The 26960-nt window shown below is 43.0% G+C and overlaps 1 long non-coding RNA gene across 2 annotated transcripts in view, besides 1 other annotated feature; it reads left to right on the top strand.

Annotated features, from left to right (window-relative positions):
* The window catches only part of NUP50-DT (NUP50 divergent transcript), a 30024-nt gene extending 20300 nt beyond the window's left edge, over positions 1–9724 (top strand). For both annotated transcript variants that reach the window (NR_038956.1, NR_038957.1), the window contains exons 2-3: positions 4566–4658; positions 8685–9724. This is a non-coding gene — a long non-coding RNA (NUP50 divergent transcript). The remainder of the gene's footprint in view (positions 1–4565; positions 4659–8684) is intronic.
* Positions 3100–3394: an enhancer, noted in NCBI's record as "tiled region #5228; K562 Activating DNase matched - State 9:DNaseU". NCBI's record gives its function as "activates a minimal TATA promoter and a strong SV40 promoter by Sharpr-MPRA in K562 cells {active_cell/tissue: K562}" and the evidence as "EXISTENCE:reporter gene assay evidence [ECO:0000049][PMID:27701403]".
* Positions 9725–26960: the final 17236 nt, after the last annotated feature.

Below are 26960 nucleotides of genomic sequence, written 5' to 3'. Positions count from 1 at the left end.
CATACAGTCTTCCCAGTTTAGCCTCCCAAGTTGCTGGGACTACACCACGCCCAGCTAATTTTCAAAAATATTTTATAGAGACAGGGTCTTGCCATGTCATTCAGGCTGGTCTTGAACTCCCAAGCTCAAGCAAGCCACCAGCCTTGGCCTCCCAAAGTGTCAGAATTACAGTCGTGAGCCACCATGCCCAGCTCATAATTGTTTTTAAAAGTAGCCTTGATAATTCCAGTTTCTAAAGCCTGTGCAGCTCTATTTGTCTTGTTTGTGGTTTTTCTTGGCCTTTCTTCATGTTGTCATATTCCTTTTTTTTTTTTTTGAGACAAAATCTCGCCCTGTCACCCAGGCTGGTGTGCAATGGTGCGACCTCGGCTCACTACAACCCCTGCCTCCCAGGTTCAAACGATTCTCCTGCCTCACCCTCCTGAGTAGCTAGGATTATAGGCGCCCGCCACCACGCCCAGCTAATTTTTCTATTTTTTAGTAGAGACGGGGTTTCACCATGTTGGCCAGGCTGGTGTAAAACTCCTGACCTCGTGATTTGCCCACTTTAGCCTCCCAAAGTGCTGGGATTACAGGCGTGAACCACCACGCCCGGCATGTTATCATATTGTTTTAAGTGCCTAATATCTTTGGCGTTTTGCCGTTACCCTGGAGGAATTATTTGTGTGGGTTCCCTGAGGCCTGGGAAGGACCTTCCCGTCTCTTCGTCTGCTAGATTCTTAGGGGCACCATCAGATGATAACTCTAGCCAAGTTAAAGTTTCAGGAGTCCTTGGCCCAAAAATGCTACAAGTGCCCTGGATGCCAGTCCACCTGAGGGCTGGCCCGTGGCCACATTCTCCCAAAGGCTGCTTATTTTCTTTTTTGAACTTCAGTTTCATTCCTTAGTCTCAAGGCTTCGGTCTCTGCATTCCCAGTAGCGCATGCGCGCGCGCGCGCGCGCGCGTGTGTGTGTGTGTGTGTGTGTGTGTGTGTGTGAAAATCTGGCTTGTATTTTTGTATTTGTCGTGCTGCCCCAAACCAATATGGGCAGCGTCTTCCATGTGATACCCACCCAGGCAGGTGGGTCCTGGGTTCTGATCTCTGTCATTCTGGCCTGAGGGCCATGGAACAGGACCACAAGTCCAGTGTATTAGAAAACATCCTCATTGCACAAATGGCTTGTGCTCTGAGACACTCTCCCTACCTCTCTGGGTACAGCTTCTTTTTAGTCTCAATGTTCTTAGCGGTTGTGTGGGGACAGCCAGCTACATGGTTGCTCTGATCCCTGTCCCCTGTTACTCATGCCCTGTGTAACTCCAGGATCTGTGACTTGCTTCTAACACATAGAATACTAATGGGATGTTTGTTTAATCCAGATTTTTAGATGTTTTCAGTGGTTGGGTCAGTCCTAGCTTGCCTGTCATTACTGGAAATGAGCAACTTGATTCCCTTTGAATCAAAGAACGATTTAGAGTTGGGGGTTTTTCATTTCTTTTTTCTTTTTTTACATTCTCAAAGGAGGTGACTTTTCTTTTTTCCTTAAATCAGACATAAAATATCTCAAGCATATGGAAAAATACAAAAGAATTTAATACACCTGCGTATTCACCATTCAGACTGAACAAATGTTAATATTTTACCATATTTACTTCAGTTTTTTTTTTTTTTTTTTTTTGAGATGAAGTCTCGCTCTGCCACCCAGGCTGAAGTGCAGTGGTGCAATCTCAGCTCACTGCAACCTCCGCCTCCCAGGTTCAAGCAATTCTCCTGCCTCAGATTCCCGAGTAGCCAGGATTACAGGTGCCCACCACCACACCCGGGTAATTTTTGTATTTTTAGTAGAGATAGGTTTCGCCATGTTGCCCAGGCTAGTCTTGAACTCCTGACCTCAGGAATTCCTGGGCCTCCCAAAGTGGTGGGATTACAGGCATCAGCCACTGCACCTGGCCCAGATTTTTTTTTTTTTTTTTTTTAAGAAACATAACATTGCAGTGTACAGCCCACTGTCTCCTCTTCTCCTTCCTTCCTCAGAGGTAACTGCTGTCAAGTAAATGTATACCCCAGGGTGCTTGCAGCCTCATAGGTCAGAGACTCTCAAAACTTCTTCCCCCATTTATTTATTTATTTGTTTGTTTGTTTGAGACAGAGTCTCGCTCTATCACCCAGGCTGGAGTGCAGTGGTGCAATCTCGGCTCACTGCAACTTCCACCTCCTGGGTTCAAGGGATTCTCCTGCTTCAGCCTCCCAAGTAGCTGAGATTACAGGTGTCTGCCACCAAGCCCGGCAAATTTTTGTATTTTTAGTAGAGACGGAGTTTCACCATGTTGGCCAGGCTGGTTTCAAATGACTGACCTCAAGTGATCCACCCACCTCAGCCTCCCAAAATGCTAGGATTACAGGCGTGAGCCACAGCACCTGGCCCTCTATGTTTTTATGAGTGGCATTATTTGATATCAGTTTATGATTTTAAAATTTATACTGCGTGTACCTGTTTTTCACCATTTTAACACATTTTTGGAGGTTTATCATATTTGATATATTTATGTCCTCTTTATCATTTTAATAGTAATAGTAGGCTATTCTGTTTATCCGTTTTATTTCTATGTGTTCATCCCCCTATACAACCACTGGTGTGTGGCAAGCACTTACTAAATGTCAGCTGTTATTGATGGACATTTAGAAACAATTGTTTCTATTTGTTTTTATAAACAGTGGTTGGTTAACCATCCTTATCAATGTCTTTGTGCCCGCATGCAGGAGACCTCTCTAGCATAGGCTCCTGGAAGTCGGATTGCTGGGTCCCAGGACAGACATTCAAACTTCGCTCCCCAAAATGGCTATTCCAATTTATATTCCCAGCAGCAGTATGAGTTTCTTTTCCTGAAAATCCTCACTGGCACATGGCATTACCAGACTTCTTTTTAAAATATGAAATATTGAGTACATAAAGACATACGGAGGGCTGAGCGTGGTGGCTTTCCCCTGTAATCCCTGCATTTTGGGAGGCTGAGGCAGGCAGATCTTTTGAGCCCAGGAGTTCGAGACCAACCTGGGCAACATAAACCTCTACAAAAAAAAAATACAAAAATTAGCTGGGTGTGGTGGCACACGCCTGTAGTCCCAGCTACTTGGGAGGCCAAGGTGGGAGGATCACCTGAGCCTGGGAAGGTCGAGGCTGCAGAGAGCTGAGATTGTGCCACTGCACTCCAGCTTGGATGACAAAGCAAGATCCTGCCTGCAAAAAAAAAAAGACAAGACACGTGGGGAGTAAGATAAGGAGTTTCCATATACTGTCTTTCCAGCTTTAGAAATAAAACTGCAAATACAAATGGAGCCCTTCCTGCACTCCCTGACTTCATTTCCCTCCTTTGCCCTCCCCGATGAACGTCATCCCGAGTTTCATGATTTTTATTCCCAGGCAGGTTTTCGTAGTTTATATTATTTACACATGTGTCTATCCATAAGTATGCCTTACAACATTGGCAAAACGATTTTAAACTACATGAACTTTATACCAGTAATAACACACCCTGTACAACTTTCTGTTGATTTTTTTTTTATACTGAACTTCAGCTCTTGAGGTTTATCTATGCTGATGATGACAGTGACAATGATGATGTCATCAAACACTTATATAGTGCTTGTATGCCAGGCACTCCTCATCACAGCTATGAATCGTGGTCCACCAAATAAGTGCAACAGAGTTTATCTATTTTTAAATCTTTGCCATCACTACTAATGTTGCAGCGAGTGTTTTCTTGTACATACATCCTTGCGGAAGTGTTTGGGTATATACCTACGGTAGAGTTCCTTGGTTATGTGGTACCAGCATCTTCACCTACCAACTCTGTCCAAATGGTTACCCCAAGTGTTTGTATGACCCTGTCAGTATGTGCGAGGGTTTTTTACTCCACATTTCCTCCCAAACTTTTTTTTTTTTTTTTTTGACAGAGTCTGGCTCTGTCGCCCAGGCTAAAGTGCAGTGGTGTATTCGCGGCTCACTGCAACCTCCGCCTGCTGGGTTCAAGCGATTCTCCCGCCTCAGCCTCCCGAGTAGCTGGAATTACAGGTGCATGCCACCACGCCCAGCAAATTTTTTTATTTTAGTAGAGATGAGGTTTCACCATGTTGTCCAGGCTGGTCTCGAACTCCTGACCTCAAGTGATCCGCCCACCTCGGCCTCCCAAAGTGCTGGGATTACAGGCGTGAGTCACTGTGCCCAGCCTCCCTGGAAACTTCATTGTGTTCAATTTAAGTTTTTCCTTTCTCCTAGGTATAAAAGAGAACCTCATCATTTTCATTTGCATTTCCTTGATTACCGATGAGGTTGATTTTCTTGGTCTTTTGTTCCTTCTTCTGTCAAATGCTTATTTAAATTTTCCCCAATTTTTCTACTGGAGTTTTTGGCCCTTATTATATAGACATATATGGATTATTATATATACATATATTATGTATTAGTTATGTGGTATATATCTTATATATATATGATATATATCATATATATACATATATGATATATATCATATATATGGTATGTATGTATGTATAATTTTTTTAAAGATTTTTTTTTTTTTTTAATAGAGACGAGGTCTCACTATGTTGGCCAGGTTGGTCTCGAATTCCTGGCCGCAAGCCGTTCTCCAGTCTGGGCCTCCCAAAGTGCTAGGATTACAGGTATGAGCTACCACACCTGGCCTTTATTCCTTATAGACATTCTTTATATGTTTTGGAAATGAATCCTTAGTCAGTTATATGTATTGTGAATGTCTCCTGCTCTATAGGCTGACTTTTATCCCAGCAACAGTGACTTTGGTTGTAACAAAGTTTTCATTTGTTTATATAATCAAACTTACCAACCTTTCCCTTATAGTTGATGTGTTTTGCCTGTTCAGACCTTTCTTATCCTTGAGAACATAAGAATATTCAGTTTTTGTTCTATTCTTCTATTTCAAGTTTTGCTATTTTTCTTGTCTTTCTGTTTCCTTTGATTTCAAGTTTTGCTTTTAGGTCTTTAATCCACCTAGGATTTATTTTTGTGAATAGTATTTTGCGAATAGTATTAGAAAGCAGTTCGGTTTTTTTTCATATGGAAAACAAGCTGTGTGGAGCCCCATTTATTAAATCCTTTTCCTTTTGTAATAACAGCTATCATATATTATCATATATTGTGTTTTCATATATGCATGAGTTTGTTTGCTACTCTCCTTTTCAAATTTAATTTTTTAATTGACATATAATGTACATATTTATGGGGCACAGAGTCATGTTTTGAGATGTATAATGTATAGTGATCAGAGCTAACAGCACATTCATTATCTCCAACATTGATTATTTCTTTGTGTTGAGAGCATTCAATATTCTCCTTCTAGCTATTTGAGACTATGTAATATCTTATTGTTAACTACAGTTATGCTACATTGACACAGAACCCTAGAACTTCTTCCTCCTGTCTAGTTGCTAGTTGTAATTTTGTATCCCTTAAAAAGCCGACTCCCATTGCTCCCCAGTGCACTCTAGTCTCATTCACCATATATTTATCTCAGTATCAATATCTTAAATTTAATAGCTTCATGGTAAGTTTTGATAACTGGCAAAGGAAGTCTCACATTGTTTAAAATGTTCTTAGTTGTACTTGACTTTTTGCTCTTTCATATACATTTTGGAATCAGTTTACAAGTTCTTCAAAAAAACCCTGTTGAGATTTTGTGTGAAACTGCGCTTAATATTTAATATTAGTTTTGAGAGAATTTTCCTCTAAATGGGAGGTTTTCTCATCCATTTTTGTCATTCAAGAAGTGTTATAATTTTCAACATAAAGATGTTATACATCTTTTGTTTGATACATTCCTAGGTACCTTAAATACTTTGTATTCTTTAAAAGTGACAGTTTTCAGCCATTTGTTGTGGGCATATAGGCACACAATTGATTTTTGTATATTCATCTTATATCCTGCAGCCTAATTAAATTCTTTTCTTCTTATGCCTTGTCTTTGATCTTCTTTCATTTTTTTTTTTTTTTTTTTTTGTTATTGGAGTCTTCTGCAAATAATGACAATTTTGTTTCTCTATTCCCAGTACAGTGTCTGTGAATGTGTGTTTGTGTGTGTTGTCTAACAGCATTGGTCAGGAGCGGGTAGAGTGGCACCATTGAGGGGATATTCAAAAATATTATTTTGTCCTAAATGATAGTTGCTGAGTTTTTCTTTGACCCATGAGTTATATTGGAGTTTATTTTTTAACTTTCCAATCGCATGGACATGTTAGACTTATTTTCTGTTAATGATTTCTATTTTTATTAAATTGGATTTGAGAAATTGGTTTTTATTATATCAATTTTTGGTATTTGTTGAGTTTGACATTATAGCTTAGTATGTGACCAATATTTGTAAATGTTCTTGGGAAAATGATACGTTCTTCGACTTTGATGCGGATTTACCAATTTCTCCTTGTAATTCTGTCCATTTTTGGTTATGTTTTGAGATTATGTTGTTAAGTTGAAAACAGGTTCAGAATTTTTATACTTTTGTGGGGAAATGTTCCTTTTATTATAGCCTCTTATTTCTGATAATACTTTCTGTCTTTCCATTTTTTTCTGAGAATAAAATAACTATACAAGCTTTCTTTTTTGGTTCATATTCTTCTGGTAAAATAGAACTAGGTAAACCTATTTCTCCCCCTACGCCCTGCTTCTTTCAGTTTCAGTGTTTCTAGATACTTCGGCTTTGGGTGTGTTTCTTTCAGTATTATATAGATTAATTTGTCTTGTCTGTGTCTCCTCTGTGATTCTGTGTTTTGTAGTGGAAACTTTGTTTGCTATCATTGTGACTATAGATACTGTCTAACATTGTACTTTCTAATTTTCATGTTTATTTTTTTTTATTTGATTAAAAAAGACTCTTCTTGTTTTCTGTTTTGTCTGAGTTTTCATTATACCCACTTCTCAACTACCCCATCCCACGGGTAGAAGTTTTTAAAATTTGCATATTTAACATTCATTTTCGACTTATCTGAAATTAATCAATATCTCTACTGTAGTCTTGGATAATGCCAAGAGTTTAAAATGCTATAATCCAAACACCTGTTTGGACTCAATATGTCATTTTATGTCTTGTATGTCACTTTTCCCCTGTTGCCCTGCTCAGAGTAAGAATTATATGTTATTATTATTCATTATTTTACTTCCAACTCATTTTTATATTCAAATTAGTTACAATTTGCTGTTGTTTTTATACAGTCAATACTTATTTAGATTTGCCTACGTAGTTACCCATTATTGTTCACCGTTGTTTCCTACATTTTTCTCTTTTAAATGTTTTCTTTCTGAAATAAATACTATAGAATTTATTTCAATGAGAATCTTTACAGTGGTATTCTTTTAGTCCTATTAAGAAAAACAAACTCTTCTCTCCGTCATTCTTTTATTGACATTCAGCTGGGCAGGGAATTCCAGGTGGGCATTTATCTCATCTGAGCATGCAAATCTAATTATGTTGCTTTTTAGAGAGATTACATTGTGCCACAGTTAGTTAGTGGAGAATCTGAGGCTCAGACCCAGGCCTACCTGATACCAGAGCTCAAGTTCTCAGCCAAACCCTTTGTATTTGTATTCATCAAATAAGACAACATTTGAACAATAGCAAAGTCTACAATGTGTCTACATCATGACAACACATGGGCAAATTTTAAAATACAATATTCAGTTTGGTTCAGCAAGCATTTTTGCAAACTTCCCACATGCTAAGCAATGCAGGAGGAAGAGATACAAGTGAATATTGTTGGCCAGGTGTGGTGGCTCATGCCTGTAATCCCAGCACTTTGGGAGGCTGAGGCAGGCGGATCACTTGAGGTCAGGAGTTTGAGACCGGCCTGGCCAACATGGAGAAACCCCATCTCTACTAAAAATATAAAAAATTAGCCAGGCATGGTGGTGGGCGCCTGTAATCCCAGCTACTTGGGAGGCTGAGGCAGGAGAATCGCTTGAACCCAGGAGGCGGAGGTTGCAGTGAGCCGAGACCAGGCCATTGCACTCTAGCCTGGGCGACAGAGTGAGACTCTGTCTCAAACAAAAAAAATCTAATCTTAAAGTATGTACATTGTTTTAGACATAATGCTATTGCACACTTAATAGACTACTGTATAGTGTAAGCATAAATTTTACACGTACTGGGAAACCAAACAGTTTGTGTGACTTGCTTTATCGAGATACTTGCTTTATTCTAGAACTGAACCTGCAAAGCTCACAATATCTCCAAGGCATGCCTATATACTACAAGCACCGTTTTGCTCTCCTCAACTGTTGTGAAATCTTTAGGGGCAAGGACCCTGTCTTGTCATTCTGTTTTCTCAGTTCCTAGGTTCTTAGTACTTGCTTAATAAATACTGTCTGGAACAAACTGAACAAGCTTTTCTTTTGGGTTCTACCAATATTTAGTCACCACAGGGGGTGCATTCCCACTGAGCATTTAAAACTCCAACCTATGCCTTACCCTATTTCCTTAATGCATTTGGTACTGTTTTCTCATGTATAACATGAGAGAAATGTTGCCTACTCAAAGGTTTGTTGTTAGATTAGGTGGCTTGGAGGGTATGAAAGTATTTGATTAACTGTAAAGCAAAGTACAGATGTAAACTATGGTTGTTATTGTGGCAGGTTGCAATTAATAGTTGGACACTAAAATCTGGTCTCCCCTTCTTCCACAGGAACAGAATTGCCATTGGGCCCAGGGAGAGACTACACTTCTTGTCTGCTTTGTTGCTAGTGCGGCCTTGTGGCCAAGCACAGAACGTGTGCAGTGATGATGGTGCAACTTCTAGGTCGTCCCCAGCATGGAAAATGAGCCCTGGGCATGGAAGATGAGCCCTGGTCCTGCAGCGGTGCTCTTTCCTCTTCTCACAAGCTGGAATGTGCATGTGCTCCCACCCAGCTTTGACCATGGGGCGAAAACAGTACTCTGCAGTCTGGCAGAGCAACAAGGTGGAAAGGGCCTGGGTCCTTGAGTGACGTCATGAGCCCTCTCACTGTCCCGACTTTGGGACTGTTATATGATAAGGACTTTCTGTGAGTCACTGTCTTTTAGAGTCTCTCTGTTTTAGCTGCCTGGACTTTATCCTGAATAATATGGCTGTTATCATGGGTATAGTGTTACTATGAGCCTCATCTAAGTAATTTCTACTCTGCCTTTGACCACTAAACTCATGTTGGACAAGAGTCACTTAGCATTATTTTTTCCTCAATGAAGAGGTTAAGATGGAGGGAGCAGGAGAAATTGAGGCCTGTGTTTTACCAGAAGGTGAAGGGCTGTCTTTGCCTTTCCTACATTTATGAAGGATAATTCTAGACAAAAACATTAAGTTCATATCAAACCATCTGCTTTGTGAAGCCATGGGCTTTGCTAGAACTTTCTGTGACATGACATTTATTAACCCGAGTCTACCTGGAAGTTAGAGCTGAGGAAGTTTTCCTAGAGTGGAAAAAGTCCAATGCACTTGTAAAAGTCAGACCAAGCTCAGCTCAGATTTCAGTTTTATTAGAAGTATGTCACCTTCCTGAGCCCTTATTATTTCCCCATCTGTGAAATGAGGACACCGTTCTCTCTTTCTAAGCATTGCTGGGAAGACCACACACCACTGAGACAGAAGGTGGGGCTAGCGCAGTTCTGGGCATTTTGTACACCCCCAACAAATACTGATTTATTTCCTTCTTTTTCCTTGCTCAGAAAAAATTGGAGAAGGCTTTATTTTAAAATTCTGCCTGAATTACTTTATTTTATTTATTTATTTATTTATTTTTTGGAGACAGAGTGTTGCTGTGTCACCCAGGCTGGAGTGCAGTGGTGCGATCTCAGCTCACTGCAACCTCCTCCTGCTGGGTTCAAACGATTCTCCTGCCTCAGCCTCCTGAGTAGCTGGGATTATGGGCGCCCACCACCATGCCCAGCTAATTTCTGTATTTTTAGTAGAGACGGGGTTTTGCCACATTGGCCAGGCTGGTCTCGAACTCCTGATCTCACGTGATCTGCCCACCTCAGCCTCCCAAATTGCTGGGATTACAGGCATGAGCCACCATGCCCAGCCCTTGAATTACTTTAGATCCTACTTTTTAAGAAAATATTTGGCCGGGCATGGTGGCACACACCTGTAATCGCAGCACTTTGGGGGCCTGAGTTGGGTGGATCACTTGAGTCTAAGAGTTCGAGACCAGCCTGGCCAACATGGCGAAACCCTATCTCTACTAAAAATACAAAAATTAGCCGGGCATGGTGGTGGGCACCTGTAATCCCAGCTACTTGGGAGGCTGAGGCAGGGAGAATCACTTGAACCTGGGGGGGCAGAGGTTGCAGTGAGCCAAGATAGTGCCACTGTACTACCGCCTGGGCGACAGAGCAAGACTTTGTCTCAAAAAAAAAAAAAAAAGAAAATATTTGACTTTCTTTTTAAAATGTATATGGTTTACAAATAAAGTTTACAAATGCTTTTACACTCCTTGTAGGCCACATTACTTTTCTGATCCCGAGGGGTGTGTATTTGTAGTTAACTCATTATGAAAGAGAAGATGCTAAAAGACAGCAGTCCTTAGGGTATGAAAGCAATACTGGCATTGATGAGCGAGGAGGCAAGAAAAATGGGAGGCACTAGGTAATTCTGACAATCTCAAGGCAAATGAAAGCTAGCTTGGAAAAGCCACCGTGAATTTTGAGTGAGATGGTGAAGCTTTAAGGCCCAGGAGGTCTGCCAAAATGAGGGTGTTATGATGGCATCCTAAAGTCGCCGTGTCTGAAGCCATAGGCAGGTCATTTCCAGGGCCACGCAGGATCCGGAAGATTCCAGGTGGTGGGTAGATACTTGGTGCTCCCCTCTCTGCTTCTCCTTCTTCCCTCTGGCCTCCTTTGTCCCTTTTCACTCAGCCTGCTTCCCCCGAGTCTGCCACTCTCTCAGACACATACACATATGCTCATTTGTATTCAAAGCCAGGTTCAGGCCAGGAGCAGTAGCTCACATCTGTAATCCCAGCACTTTGGGAGGCCGAGGTGGTTGGATCACTTGAGGCCAGGAGTTCAAGACCAGCCTGGCCAACATGGTGAAACCCTGTCTCTACTAAAAAATACAAAAATTACCTGGATGTGATGGTGCATGTCTGTAGTCCCAGCTACTCGAGAGGCTGAAGCTTGAACCCAGGAGGCGGAGGTTGCAGTGAGCCAAGATCACCCCACTACACTCCAGCCTGGGTGATACAGCCAGACCCTATCTCCAGAAAAAAAAAAAAAAAAGTCACTGGAGAATGGTAAGCCAGCCAGGGAGACTGAGGGTGAGGATGGTCAACTGAAGATAAAGGAAGAGAACTAGGAGAAGGCGTTTAGTGTTTCAAGAAAGGGAATGGTTAGGGGGTCCCAAATGTTGCTGAAAGGGCAAGTAAGATGAAGATTATACAATATCTGTTGGATTTAGGAAAAAAAAAATTGGTCATTGGTGACCCTGGAGAAAGCCATGTGCAGAAGGGAGGGTTGGGCTGAAGCCTGTTGCAATGAATGGGGAAGTGAGGACAAGGGGAACTGTAGAAAGCATGGGTAAACAACTTTGCAGAAGTTTGGAAATGCAGACACACCGGGTGTGTGGGGGTGGGGGCAAGGGGAGGGAGAGCATTAGGACAAATAGCTAATACATGCAGGGCTTAAAATCTAGATGACAGGTTGATAGGTGCAGCAAACCACCAAGGCACGTGTATACCCATGTAACAAACCTGCACATTCTGCATATGTATCTCAGAACTTAAAGTAAACAAACAAAAATCTAGGATGAACAATGAAGGTTGAAAATTAGAACCTTAAACTCATTCCTTAAATTTTTTCAAGACTGTCTTTATCTTTATGCTTTCCAATTGTTCAAAACCTGAGGGGAAAAAATTGTTTTTTTGTTTTTTTGTTTTTTTTTTTTTTTTTACTTCTGATCATATTCTGCTTAAGCAGGAAATCTTAATTATTAAAACCAGCTGGGCGCAGTGGCTCACACCTGTAATCCCAACACTTTCAGAGGCTGAGATGGGCAGATCACCTGAGGTCAGGAATTCAAGACCAGCCTGCCCAACATGGTGAAAACCCGTCTCTACTAAAAAAAAATACAAAAATTAGCTGGGTGCGGTGGCACACGCCTGTAATCCCAGCTACTCGGGAGGCTGAGGCAGGAAAATCACTTGAACCCGGGAGGCAGAGGTTGCAGTGAGCCAAGATTATGCCATTGCACTCCAGCCTGGGTGACAAGAGTGAAATTCCGTCTCAAAAAAAAAAAAAAATCATTAAAACCTCATTATCACATCTATCCAGAAAAAAAAAAAGTTTGGCTGAGAACAGAAGTTTAGAAACTGGAAGAAAACTGGAGGGGGCCGTGGGGTGAAAGGGTGAGTAGTTTCATTTTTGTTTCTTTAAGTGGGAAACCCCTGGGCATGTTAAAATGCAGAGGGGAAGGATCTAAGGAGAGGTCAGAGAAAAGGAAAAGAGTGTCACGCGCGTCCGTGTGAAGAGACCACCAACAGGCTTTGTGTGAGCAACAAGGCTGTTTATTTCACCTGGGAACAGGCGGGCTGAGTCCGAAAAGAGAGTCAGCAAAGGGTGGTGGGATTATCATTAGTTGTCTCGGGTTCACGCCTTTGTCCTGCCTCAGGTTCCCGAGTAGCTGGGACTACAGGTGCCCGCCACCATGCCCGGCTAATTTTTTGTACTTTTAGTAGAGGCGGGGTTTCATCTTGTTAGCCGGGATGGTCTCGATCTCCTGACCTCGTGATCCGCCCGCCTCGGCCTCCCAAAGTGCCGGGATTACCAGCGTGAGCCACCGCGCCCAGCCTATCATTAGTTCTTAGACGTTTGGGATAGGCGTATAAAGTACCTTCTTAAGGGCGGGGGAGAATATACCGTATCAGGGTGGGGCAGGAACAAATCACAATGGTGGAATGTCATCAGGTAAGGCTATTTTCACTTCTTTTGTGGATCTTCAGTTGCTTCAGGCCATCTGGATGTATACGTGCAGGTCACAGGGGATATGATGGCTTAGCTTGGGCTCAGAGGCCTGACAGGCATAATAGAAAGAGTGCAGTTCTTGAGAAGGTGGGAGGGTCTGGGACCCAAGGCACAGGCAGAAGCGTTAACCCAGGAGGGCAAGAGGCAAGGAAGCTTGCAGGTGCAGGCGAGTTCAAGCAACAACATTCCTTTCCTTCATGCCACGAGATGTTGCTACTTTCCTGTTCAGTTCAACTCATCAGACACTTGCTTAACCTGTGAGCTGGTGATACAAGTGGCTATGAATCTAATGCTCTTACAGCATTAGACAGAAGTCGGAGAGACAAATAACCATGATCAGAGCTAGTATTTACGGAGCATGGACTCTGGGCCATGCAGCCATAGCATTTAGTTCTTACAACAACCCCAGGAAGTGGGCAGGAGTGTGATTCTATTTTAACGTGAAGGAAAGGAGGTGCAGAGAAATGAAATGACTTGTCCTAGGTTAGAACTGCGGGACTAGAATGAAAACTCTGAAAAAAGGACTCTGGGGGCTGTGCTTGTCATGGAGACGTCATGCTCTTGCTCTTGTTCACAAACCACGTCTCCGAGAAACAATTGGCCAATACCGTGTGCCTGGGTGGCAGCAATTTTCCAGGGCAATTCTGATTTAGTATCACTTTCATCTTTTGAGCCAAGGCGATTCATTAACTTTTCCCTCCAGCCTCTCTTCAGCTGACAGCTTCCTGCTCAACCCTCACCATCTAGCCTGGGTTAGCCCGCAGCCTCCTCTGCAAAGCTCATCTCCCTACACTTTAAGCCCTCTCTATTTTTAATTATAGTTATTTCCCACATCCCAAACTGGGGCACAAATGATTTGTTTTAATTTAGGAATTGTGTGGGAAATCTTACAAAAGGCTCATGCAGAAGATGATATAAGCTTTTTATCTCCAGCCAGAGTCTCTCCCCTGAACTCCAGATTCACATATCCAGCTGCACCTATATTTGGATGTCTAATAGATGTCTCAGACTTCAAAAGTTTGAACCCCTGATCTCCGCCTTTGACTCTGCCTCCCTTGTCTGCTTTCTTGGCAGTCTTTCCATCTTGGTTAATGGCATCCCCATAATTCCAGGTGCGTGGGGACAAAATCTCTCCTTCTTTCAGATCTCCTTCTCTCCTCTCAGTGCACCCCGTTGGCTTTTCCTCCAAGCTATGCATGTTCATGATCCAGCCATGTGATGAATGTTATGTGTCAACTTGGCCAGCAGTACCCAGATATTCAATTAAGCCCGAGTCTAAATGGTGCTGTGGAGATAGTGCTTTTAGATGAGATTAACATTTAAATCTGTGGGCCGGGAGTGGTGGCTTACGCCTGTAATCCCAGCACTTTGGGAGGCTGAGGCGGGCAGATCATTTGAGGTCAGGAGTTCAAAACCAGCCTGGCCAACATGGTAAAACCTCGTCTCTATTAAAAATACAAAAATTAGCTGGGCGTGGTGGGAGGTGCCTGTAGTCCTAGCTACTCGGGAGGCTGAGGCAGGAGAATGGCTTGAGCCCAGGAAGTGGAGGTTGCAGTGAACAGAGATCACAACTTTGCACTCCAGCCTGGGCGACAGAGTAAGATTCAGTCTCAAAAATAAATAAATAAATAAATCTGTGGATTTTGAGTAAAGTGGGTAATGTGGGTGGGCCTCACCCATCAGTTGAAGGCCTAAAAAAAAAAAGACTGACCTCCCAGAAGGAAGAGGGAGTTCTGCCAGCACATTTTCTTTGAACTCCGGCTGCAGACATCACCCCTATCCTGGGTCTCCAGCCTGCTGGCCTAACCTGTAGATTTGGGATTCGCCAGCCCCCACAATTATGGGAGCCAATTCCTTAAAATAAAATCTCTCTCTGGAGAAAAGAAGAAAATACTCATGACAATGACAGTCCTTGCTTCTGTAACTGGTTATGTGGTCATGGCTGGCACACATAACTGCCTTCTTCCACTACCCATTCTGCATTCCCATGGCCCTCAGCAAGCACTGGTCATGGTTCTTTACCTGGTGGGGTGGCCCAAACCCTCACTCCTAAGGGGTCTGGGCCTTTCATAATCCTGCCTGGATTGGATTGTTTTGTTTTCCATTGACTTTAATCACAAGTTATGGTAATCCTAAAATAGCCTAAGGGACCTCCTGTATTCCAGATATTGTCTTCCTTGCCTCTGCTGCCGAGTGGTCCAATTTCCCCTTGGTAGTCAGGATCAATCCCTCCAGCCAGCACAAGAATTCCCTTTTTGCCTGTTGATTCAGTGGCATGAGGAGCCCAAAGTGACTGGGCAGTCTTAACTTCTATTCAATAGAACCATTCTTGTGTCTTCTAATGGAAGGAAGCATTCCTTCCTTTGGACTAAGACCTCTCAGCAGACCATAAAGCTGCGGGGACAGGAAGCAAAAATTTTGCTAGTGAGTCACTAGGGGTAATAGTGAGTGGTGCTGCTCCCGTCTTCACCCTTTGGTGCTGGACCTGTGAATCTGGCTAGTAGGCCACCAAGGATCTGCTAACACATCCCATTGTTCTGTTTCTTTTTTCTTTTTGAGACAGAGTCTCACTCTGTCATCCAGGCTGGAGTGCAGTGGCGCAATCCTGGCTCACTGCAACCTCTGCCTCCTGGGTTCAAGCCTGCCTGAGACTCCTGAGTAGCTGGGATAATAGGCGCCTGCCACCACGGCTGGCTGGTTTTTGTATTTTTAGTAGAGATGGGGTTTCACCATATTGTCCAGGCTGGCCTAGAACTCCTGAAACTCAGGTGGTCTTCCTGCCTTAGCCTCCCAAAGTGCTGGGATTACAGGCGTGAGGCACTGCGCCCGGCCTCTCATTTTTTTCATGAGCTCAGCCATGCATTTAAAATAATACTTTTTATATTTAGTCTATAATTTTAGGTGTTTTTAATGGAAGAGTGTCAAGGATAACTTGACCACAATTTTGCAGGACTAGAAACATCTTGCAGAGCTTCTCCATCTTGTTTGCTGCAGAGAGGCACACTTCATCTCTGAGCCTTCTTTTATGACCATCTCCTCACCCCCCCAAAAAAACCTGTTCCTTTCTGTGCAATTTATGTATCAAGGAAATGAGAAAAAAAAAAAAAAAAAGAACCAATGTTTTTTCCTTCCCTTTGCCAGCTTAGAATATAAACACTTCAAGGGTGGAAATTTCCTTAGGAATGCTTTGTGTAGTGAATAACTGCTGCTCCGTGTCCCGGGTTCATGCCATTTGCCTGCCTCAGCCTCTTGAGTAGCTGGGACTATAGGCACCCGCCACCACACCCGGCTAATTTTTTGTATTTTTAGTAGAGACGGGGTTTCACTGTGTTAGCCAGGCTGGTCTTGATCTCCTGACCTCATGATCCGCCTGCCTCATCCTCCCAAAGTGCTGGGATTACAGGCATGAGCCACCGTGCCCGGCCGAATAACTGCTCTTAATAATAAACTCTCATTTGTTTCCATAATCTGTATGGCGAATTGGATGTTTCCTACTTAACTATGCTTTAGGTGGATTGGGGAGCTGAATTGGCAATTTAAAGGCATCTTTTACTGACTCCTTATTGTATATTAAAGGGCATGCTTTGGTTGAGTAAAAGTGCTTTGGACTGAATGTTTGTCCACCCCAAATTCATATGTTGAAACCTTAATCCCCAATGTGATGGCATTAGGATATGGGGCATTTGGGAAGCAATTATGTCACAAAGATGAAGCCATCAGGATAGGATTAGTGCCCTTAGCAAGAGATGGGAGAGAGTTGGCTCTCTCTATCTCTCTTTGTGGAGACACAGCAAGAATGTGGCTGTCTACAAACCAGGAAGTGGGCCCTCCCCAGATACTGAATCCGTAGGTATCTGGATCTTGGACTTCCCAGCCTCCAGAACTCTGAGAAACCAATGTGTTGTTTAGGCCACCCAGTCTCTGGTACTCTTATAGCAGCCCAGATTGACTAAGACAACAAGTTTTACAGATCATAAGAAATTTTGCTTAAAGTTTCTTATGATCCGTAAAAGGGATCTGTAAAAGGGATGCTCTTGGAATTGCTCAACTGTATATGGATTTAACCAGTAGAAGATTGTATTAGTCCATTTTCACACTGCTGATAAAGACATACCTGAGAGTGAGCAATTTGCAAAAGAAAGAGGTTCCACGTGGCTGGGGAAGCTTCACAATCATGGCAGAAGGCAAGAAGGAGCAAGTCACATCTCACGTGGATGGCAGCAGGCAAAGAGTTTGTGCAGGGAAACTCTGCCTTAGGAAGCCGTCGGATCTTGTGAGGATTTTTTTTTTTTTTTTTTTTGAGATGGAGTCTCACTCTGTTGCTCAGGCTGGAACACGATGGCACAATCTCGGCTCACTGCAAACCTCCGCCTCCCAGGTTCAAGCCATTTTCCTGCCTCAGCCTCCTGAGTAGCTGGGATTACAGGTATGCGCCACCATGCCCAGCTAATTTTTGTATTTTTAGTGGAGACGTGGTTCCACCATGTTGACCAGCTGGACTCGAACTCCTGACCTCAAGTGATCTGCCTGCTTTGGCCTTCCAAAGTGTTGGGATTACAGGCGTGAGCCACGGTCCCCGGCTGTGAGATTTATTCACTATCATGAGAACAGCACTGCAAAGACCTGCCACCACGATTCAATTATCTCCCACCAGGTCCCTCCCACAACATGTGGAAATTATGAGAGTACAATTCAAATGAGATTTGGATGGGGACACAGAGCCCAACCATATCAAAGATATTCTGTGGAAGTCTCTGTCATTATATTATTGGTCAATACGATGGCTCTTTCAAGTAACCCAGTACCTATCGTCTGAATGAAGGGGATAAGGTCAGTTTCATGGCCTCAGAGAAGCTGCGTTTTGCCCGTTGTCTTCAGCCTGAACAGGCTGCTTACCACACCAGGCTCACTGGCCAGGCAGGAAGCCACTGCTGCAAAACCCAGTGTGGTGTGGCGGGAGGGTGAGGGGGCAATTGACATACTTTGTTATCCTTAAGGGAAGGCTACTCATCACTCCTGGTTACTTCCAGGAATAGTCACCCTCCCTCGTTTCTTTAAGTAACTAAGAGAATGCTGTCAGTGTGGAAAGCGTCCCAGCAGCGTTTGGCATTTCACTGCATCATCCTTCTGGAAAGCACCACCAGCCTTTAGTTCATTCCTCCTACAGCAAAGACGCTTGTTTACAGAGAGCAAGAGCTTCTTGTGTGCCTCCCTGACACAGGCAGTGCATAGAACTCCCGGAGATGATGAGGAAACCCAGAGGCCCCGTGAACAACACGCCACAGAATTACTTAGGGAATTAGGAGTTGGAGAGGAGCTAAATGTTTCCAAGGCTTTGCAAATCATTCTCACAAACCTACAAAGGACAGCTAAAAAGCTTCCAAATGAGAGTGTATAAAATAGTAAAGAACGAGATCAGAATGAATGGAAATGACTCCGGCAGCCTTTTCGTTTTCGGAATCCTTTAAAGCTGCTCATTGCCTTTGTCAGAGCCAGGGATTTCAAGCAAAAGGTTACCAGTTGCCGATTGTTCTAAGATGTTTAAAAAATGGTTCTCATGCTTCGAGGTTTTTTTTTTTCCTTTTTTTTTTTTTAAAAAAAAAAGGCCCAGCAGGGTTTTGATTTTGTCCCATCTTTATGTTATGTCTGAAAATCTAAGACAATTTAGACCTCTTGCAAGCATAGCAATTCTCACAATAAGTTCATCAGCAGAGCCAGTGGTGAGAGTCGTGGTCAGGCTGTTACCTTCCGCTAATCCAAAAGATGGTCTTTAACAAAGCCGCTCCTCAGCTGCGCTTCTGATCCCTGGGTGTCATTTCTTTTGCCTCCTCAGAGCATCTGCATGTGGAAAGCACCCTGGAGCTGCCTTCTCAATGCACAGCGCTTTCTGTCTTAATTAATGTATCCCATGTCTGTTGGGAAGCACAGTGTCCTATGGCATCTGGCAGCAATGATACGGGTCACAGTCTAATTTCAAGCAGTTAAATGTCAGGAAGGCAGAGGCCACCCCATTTTGTGGACCTTGACTTTGAAGACAGGTCTCGTTGCCAGGCTTCCTCATCCCCCTTCCCGTTCCCTGTGGATTCTAATAGAAACCATCCCACAGCTGGAAGAAGTCTTAGCACACTATGGCAGTTTTCTTTGACTCACTCGGGCAGTGCAAAATGTAGATACCATAGGCTGTTTTTCAGGAAGCAGTTCCTCCTGGGCAGAGAAAACTGAAATGGACGTGTCATTTGAACTAGACCTTGAAATAGGAGAAAACATCAGGGGTGGAGAAGGATATTTTCAGAGGGTTCTACTTCTGGCTATGACAAGTACTTGAGAATAGACCAACTTTCCTAAAAATATTAGCCAGGCATGGTGGTGTGTGTCTGTGGTTGTAGCTATTCAGGAGGCTGAGGTGGGAGGATAGCTTGAGTCAGGGAGTTCGAGGCTGCAGTGAGCTATGATCACGCCATTGCACTCCAGCCTTGATGACAGAGCAAGACCCTGTGTCTAAAAAAATAATAATAATAAGTAAATAAAAAATAAAAAATATATAGACCCAACTTTCCTGCTGAGACCCATCACAAAAGCTGAATAATATTTCAAAAACACCTGTTTGAAGGCATTAGAGACCAACCGGGTCAGCCAGGCTATCGCCATTGCTCTCTTCAGGTTGTTTGCTGATTTGTGCATGGAGTTCAGAGCCAGAGCAGAAGTGCTGCCCAGAGTTTTTTGCTCTCTCAAGATGCAGCAGAGAGTGCTGGAGTTACTGCTACCAAAGCAGTCAGGACAGGATGAAAGATTGTGGATTATGAGCAGTTTCAGAATTCCAGTTTTGAAATTCAGTTTATCATTAACAATGAATAAGCCAGGCTGGGCGCGGTGGTTCACTCCTGTAATCCCAGCACTTTGGGAGGCCAAGGCAGGCAGATCACCTGAGGTCAGGAGTTGGAGACCAGCCTGGCCAACATAGTGAAACTCCATCTCTACTAAAAATACAAAAATTAGCCAGGCATGGTGGTGTGCACCTGTAATCCCAGCTACTCAGGAGGCTGAGGCAGGAGAATCGCTTGAATTCAAGAGGTAGAGGTTGCAGTGAGCCAAGATTGCGCCATTGCACTCCAGCCTGGGTGACAAGAACAAAACTCCTTCTCAGAAACAAAAAACAAAATACAAACAAAACAATGAATGGCGAGTAAAACTGTTCAATAGAATAAAATACTTGAGCAGTAGAGTATGCCTTCTCCCCTCTGGACAGATAAACCCACTCTTCAAGGGAAATCAGGTTCTAATCAGAAAGTTACTTCATGAGTTAGAGAATCAGATTATGGGGGTAGAGTTCGCGGCTGCAGGAAGCTATGATTAAAAAAAAAAAAAAAAAAGAGTTGGAAGCTTCCAGTCTGATGCAGCCGGCCTGACGTGAGGGCTGGTTCCTCTGTGAGGGGCAGCTTGAGGCCTGGAGCAGGACACCCGCTTCCTGGACAGTGCCCATACAGGCACTGGGGACTTGGCTCTTTGTTTTTCTGTTTCCTTTTTTTTTTCCATGATCACCTGTCTTTTAGTTTGCAGAGAATTCCTTCCAATAGGCTATATGGTTAATTGGGTTTCTGCTACTAATTTACACCGGTATTGCAGTCCCATCTTTTTGAGACTCGGGAGTGTGCAGGAGCCAGCTCATGCCAGCTGAGGAGAACTGAGGGTACACGTCGCCCCCAACTCTTCATTCAGTTTTGTCAAGAGGGTAGCTTGATTGGCCATGGTGGGAGTAGTTACACCATGGAAATTGGCAAGCACTGTGAATCAGGACTTCTTCCACAAAGAGCCGGTTGTTAAACATGTACCAGCACACCACCACCCAGACTTTTTGATTGGAACTTGGGTTGAGGGTGGTGGGTTGGGGGTGGAAGAGGAATGTTCCAAACTCTTGGATCTCACTTTCATTGAAATTCCCAGGTTACTCCTGCAAATCATTAATGTCATCATTGTCCAGGAATTTTAGAAAATATCTTGGAGAACAATCTTTTTTTTTTTTTTTTTTTTTTTGAGAGAGAGTTTCACTCTGCCTCCCAGGCTGGAGTGCAGTGGCTCGCTGCAACCTCTGCCTCTCGGGTTCAAGTGATTCTCCTGCCTCAGCCTCCTGAATAGCTGGGACTACAGACGCCTACCACCACACCCGGCTAATTTTTTGTGTTTTTTTAATAGACATGGGGTTTCACCATGTTGACCAGGCTGGTCTGGAACTCCTGACCTCAGGTGATCCGCCCACCTTGGCCTCCCAAAGTGCTGGGATTACAGGAGTAAGCCAACCTGCCCAGCCAAATATCTTGGAGAGCAATCTAATTTCCCTTACGTCTGGGCTCCATCGGGGGCTGGGGGGGGGGGGCATTTCACTTCTGCCCCATGTACCAGCAGAAGGCCAGGCTGTGATGCCTTGAATAGCAGTCTAAGAAGAGCAACGAGGGAAGAGGAGTTAGAAAGCCATCGTGTCATTTAGCTGAAAGGTGACTGAGGCCTGAATTAACCATAATAGCTGCTTGTGGGATCAACTCATCTACCACCCAGAATGCAATTTCATTTGAGAGCCATGCTTCCATTCTATTAGGTTGGTGGGGCAAAAGTAATTGTGGATTTTGCCATTACTTTTTATTTATTTTTATTTTTATTTTTTTGAGACGGAGTCTCACTCTGTTGCCCAGACTGGAGTGCAGTGGTGCGATCTCAGCTCACCACAACCTTTGCCTCCCAGGTTCAAGCAATTCTCCTGCCTCAGCCTCCTGAGTAGCTGGGATTACAGGTGTGCGCCACCACGCCCGGCTAATTTTTTTTTTGTATTTTTAGTAGAGAGGGTTTCACCATATTGGTCAGGCTGGTCTTGAACTCCTGACCTCATGATCCACCTGCTTCGTTCTCCCAAAGTGCTGGGATTACAGGTGTGAGCCACCGCGCCCGGCCGCCATTACTTCTAATGTAGGAACCATCGCACAGAATAACTAAGAATCTCAAGGACTCTCAGAGCGCCACTATGTATCAATTTACAACACATGGCTTTCTTTATCTGTCGTTCAATTAGCCTTTTCGAGGCTCTTGAATATCAGGACATAGACATTTTCAGAAGCAGAACCTTGGGTTTGTTAGGTCAAAACTAAGTAGTATCAGCCATTCGGAGGACTGGAAGGTTGAGGTCATGAAATGACAATTCAGCTGTTGATGAGAAGAATCCATGGTTTTATTGTATCTCTTTCTACAAAGACATCTCATATACTCTCATTAATATATATTAAAAGTCTATTATGTGTAACCTGAGATTTTGACTCACGTCCTGTAATGACTGTGTCTGGAACAAGCCAGGGTTTTGTTTGTTCTGTAGCCCAAAGTAGAGCTCTACCAGAACTGTAGACAAGATCTTCCTTGAGTAATTATCTCAGGAAGCGCTGGTGGGTTGTGATTTGTAATAAACAAAAAAGAACCGGCCGGATGCAGTGGCTCAGCCTGTAATCCCAGCACTTTGGGAGGCTGAGGTGGGCGGATCACGAGGTCAGCAAATCGAGACCATCCTGGCTGACACGGTGAAACCCTGTCTCTACTAAACATACAAAAAATTAGCTGGGCGTGTTGGCGGGCGCCTGTAGTCCCAGCTACTCGGGAGGCTGAGGCAGGAGAATGGCGTGAACCCGGAAGGCGGAGCTTGCAGTGCACTGAGATCGCACCACTGCACTCCAACCTGGGCAACAAAGTGAGAATCCGTCTTAAAAAAAAAAAAGAACCAACAACTTTCTTTGGCAACAGTTTGTCCATGTTCCCATTAAATCATGAAGATTAAACCAAAGAATGACGTTTAATACTTACTCGCTGTGCAGAAGGATTTGATGGCAGGAAAGAGAGCTAAGAAAAATAACCATCAGCACAGAAGAACCTTTTGAAATCATCTGATGTGAGCTTGTAGCTTTGTGTATTTACAGTAACATGACAGTGATAAGTCAGCATTGTTCTAGAAGCCCAGATTTTCCAAAGAAATGGGCTCTTAAAAAAGGAAGGATGGCTGGGCACGGTGGCTCACGCCTGTAGTCCCAGCACTTTGGGAGGCTGAGGCAGGTGGATCACCTGAGGTCAGGAGATCGAGACCAGCCTGGCCAACATGGCGAAATCCCGTCTCTACTAAAAATACAACAACTAGCCACGTGCGGTGGTGCACACCCGTAATCCCAGCTACTCAGGAGGCTGAGGCAGGAGAATTGCTTGAACTCTGGAGGTGGAAGTTGAGTGAGCTGAGATAGCAGCACTGCACTCCAGCCAGCCTGGGTGACAGAGCAAGGAAAGAAGGATGGTCAAATCTAACCATCCCCTAGCATTGCCACCTGAGTAGGAGAAGAAACATATCATTGTGCTTTCCAGACCACCTAAAATTTAATTTGTCATTTCAAAAATTTAGAAATAGTTTTATTGATATATAATTCACACCTAATAAAATTCAATAACTTAAATTGTATAAGTCAGTGGTTTTCAGCATCCTCACAGAGCTGTGTAACCATCCTCACATTCAATTTTATAATGTTTTCTTCACCCTATAAAGAAATCCTGTACCCATTAGCAGTCACTCCTCATTCCTCCCTCCCCACAGCCCCTGGAAATCACTAATCTACTCTCCGCCTCTATAGGCTTCTCTATTCTGGACATTTCATATAAAACGAATCATATAGTGTGTAGTCTTTTGTGACAGGCCTCTTTCATTTCGCATATTTTGGAGATACAACCACGTTATAGCATGCATCAGAGCTTCTTTTCTTTTTATGGCTGTGATATGGTTCGGCTGTGTCCCCACCCAAATCTCATCTTGAATTGTAGCTCCCACAATTCCCACGTGTCGTGGGAGGGGCCCTGTGGGAGGTAATTTAATCATGGGGGTGGGTCTTTCCTGTGCCCTTCTCATGATAGTAAGTCTCAAGAGATCTTATGGTTTTATAAGGAGGAGTTCCCGTGCACAAGCTCTCTTTTGCCTGCTGCCATGTGAGACATCCCACGCTCTTCTGCCATGATTATGAGGCCTCTCCAGCCATGTGGAACTGTGAGTCCATTAAACCTCTTTCCTTTATAAATTACCCAATCTTGGGTATGTCATTACTGGCAGCGTGAGAACAGACTAATGCAGGCTGAATAATATTCCATTACATGGATATACCACATTTGACTAATAATTGTCTGTTCTTTAATTGATGGATGTTTGCATTGTTTCCACTTTTGGGCAATTATGAATCATGCTGCTATGAACACATGTGTACATTTTTTTGTTTAGTTGGTTAGTATTTTTTTTTCTGTGTTTGTGTCCAGAAGGTCAGCTAGACACTTGTGTAAGTTTTTGTGTACGTATATTTTCAATTCTCTTGGAGACATGTGTATATATGTGTGTGTGAGTGTATGTGTGTGTGTGTTGTGGGAATTGTGGGAGCTACAATTCAAGATGAGATGTGGGTAGGGACACAGCCAAACCATATCACAGCCATAAAAATAAAAGAAGTTCTAATGCATGCTATAACATGGGTGTATCTCCAAAATATAATGCAAAATGAAAGAGGCCTGTCACAAAAGACTATTTACAATATGATTCCTTTTATATGAAATGTCCAGAATACAGAAACCTATAGAGGCAGAGAGTAGAATACACACACACACACACACACACACACACACACACACACGCCCCTAGGAATGGAATTGCTGGAACATATGGTAACTCTGTGTTTAACATTATGAGGAACTGCCAAATAATTGTTTTCCAAAGCTTTTCCAAAGCTGAACCACATTACATTTCAAGCAGCAATGTGTAAGTGTTCCAGTTTCTCCATGTCCTCACTAGTTATTGTCCTTTCTTGACCACAGCCATACTAGTGGATGTGAAGTGTTGTTATCTCATTGTGATTTGGGTTAACATTTTCCTATGACTGATGTTGTTAAGCATTTTTCACGTGCTTGTTGGTCATTGTTATAGTTTCTTTGGATAAATGTTTGTTCAAATCCTGTGCTCATTTTAAAAATTGGATTTGTCTTTTTTTATTGAGTTGTAAAAGTTCTTTATATATCCTGGATAACAGTCTCTTATCAGATATATCATTAACAATTTTTTTCTCCCATTCTGTGAATTGCCTTTTCACTTTCTTGATGATTTCTGTATTAGTTCGTTCTTACACTACTCTAAAGAACTACCAGAGGCCGGGCACGGTGGCTCACGCCTGTAATCCCAGCACTTTGGGAGGCCGAGGCAGGTGGATCACGAGGTCAGGAGATCGATACCATCCTGGCTAACAAGGTGAAACCCCATCTCTACTAAAAAATACAAAAATTAGCTGGGCATGGTGGCAGGCGCCTGTAGTCCCAGCTACTCAGGAGGCTGAGGCAGGAGAATGGCGTGAACCTGGGATGCGCAGCTTGCAGTGAGCCAAGATTGCACCACTGCACTCCAGCCTGGGAAACAGAGCGAGACTCCGTCTCAAAAAAAAAAAAAAAAAAGAAATACCAGAGACTGGGTAATTTATGAAGAAAAGAGGTTTAATTGACTCACAGTTCTGCAGGCTGTACAGGAAGCATGGCTGGGGGCCTCAGTAAACTTACAATTATGGCGGAAGGTGAAGGGGAAGCAGGCACATCTTACCATGCAGTGGAGCAGGAGAGAGAGAGCAAAGGTGGAAGTGCTACACACTTTTAAACAACAAGATCTTGTGAGAGCTCACTCACTATCACGAGAATAGCAAGGGGGAAATCCTTCTCTGTGATCCAATCACCTCCCACCAGGTCCCTCCCCCAACACTGGTGATTACGATTCAACAGGAGATTTGGGTAGGGACACACAGCCAAACCATAGCAGTTTCCTTTGAAACACAGAAGTTTTAAGTTTTGTTGAAGTCCAGTTTATCTAATATTTTTTCTTTTGTTGTTTGTACTTTTGGTGTCATATTTAAGATACCATTGTCTAACCCAAGGTCACAAAGATTTAACCTATTTTTCTTCTAAGGGTTTTATAGTTTTAGAGTTTTATAGTTTAGAGTTTTATAGTTTTAGAAGTAGTTTTTGGAATCAAAAATTATTTCAGAACTTTGATGTATTTTTTCTATCCTTTCTTTTTTAGTTTTAAAAGTTGTGATAAAATACACATAGCATTTAGTGCCTTCAACATTTTGAAATGTATGGTTCAGTAGCATTAAGCACATTTACATTGTTGTACACTCAATCACCACCACCAATCCCGCAGAACTCCTTTCATCTTGCAAAACTGAAACTCCGTTAAACAATACATTCCCCCTCTCCCCAGCCCCTGGAGATCATCACTCCACTTTCTCCCTCGGAGTTTCAATACTCTAGAGACCTCATATTGTGGAGTCATATCAGATTTGTCCTTTTGTGACTGGCTTATTTCACTTGGCATAATGTCATCAAGGCTTACCTATGTTATAGCATGTGTCAGAATTTTCTTCCTTTTTAAGGCTGAATAATATTCCATTGTATGGATATAGCATATTTTTGTTTATTTATTCATCCATTCACACACACTTGGATTTGCTTCTACTTTTTGGCTATTGTGAATAATGCTGTTATGAACATGGATATACAAATACTTATTCAAGACCCCAATTTCAGTTCTTTTGGGTGTATGTCCAGGAGTAGAATTGCTGGATCATACGATAATTCTATGTTTAATTTTTTGAGGAACCACGGTCCTGTTTTCCATAGCTTCTACACCATTTACATTCCCACCAACGCTGCACAAAGGTCACGATTTCTCCATATCCTTGCCAACACTTGTTATTTTTTTTTAAATTTTTTGATAGTTGCCATCCTAATGGGTGTGAGGTGGTATCTCACTAGGTTTTGATTTGTGTTTCCTTGGTGAGCATTTTTTCATGTAATTATTGGCCATTTGCATACCTTTTTTGGAGAAATGTCTATTCAAGTTCTTTGTTCGTTTTAAAAATTAAGTCATTTTGTCGTTGAG

The sequence above is a fragment of the Homo sapiens genome, chromosome 22, assembly GCF_000001405.40.
Source record: "Homo sapiens chromosome 22, GRCh38.p14 Primary Assembly".
Classification (NCBI taxonomy): Eukaryota; Metazoa; Chordata; class Mammalia; order Primates; family Hominidae; genus Homo; species Homo sapiens.
This window is presented reverse-complemented; position numbering and strand designations above follow the sequence as displayed.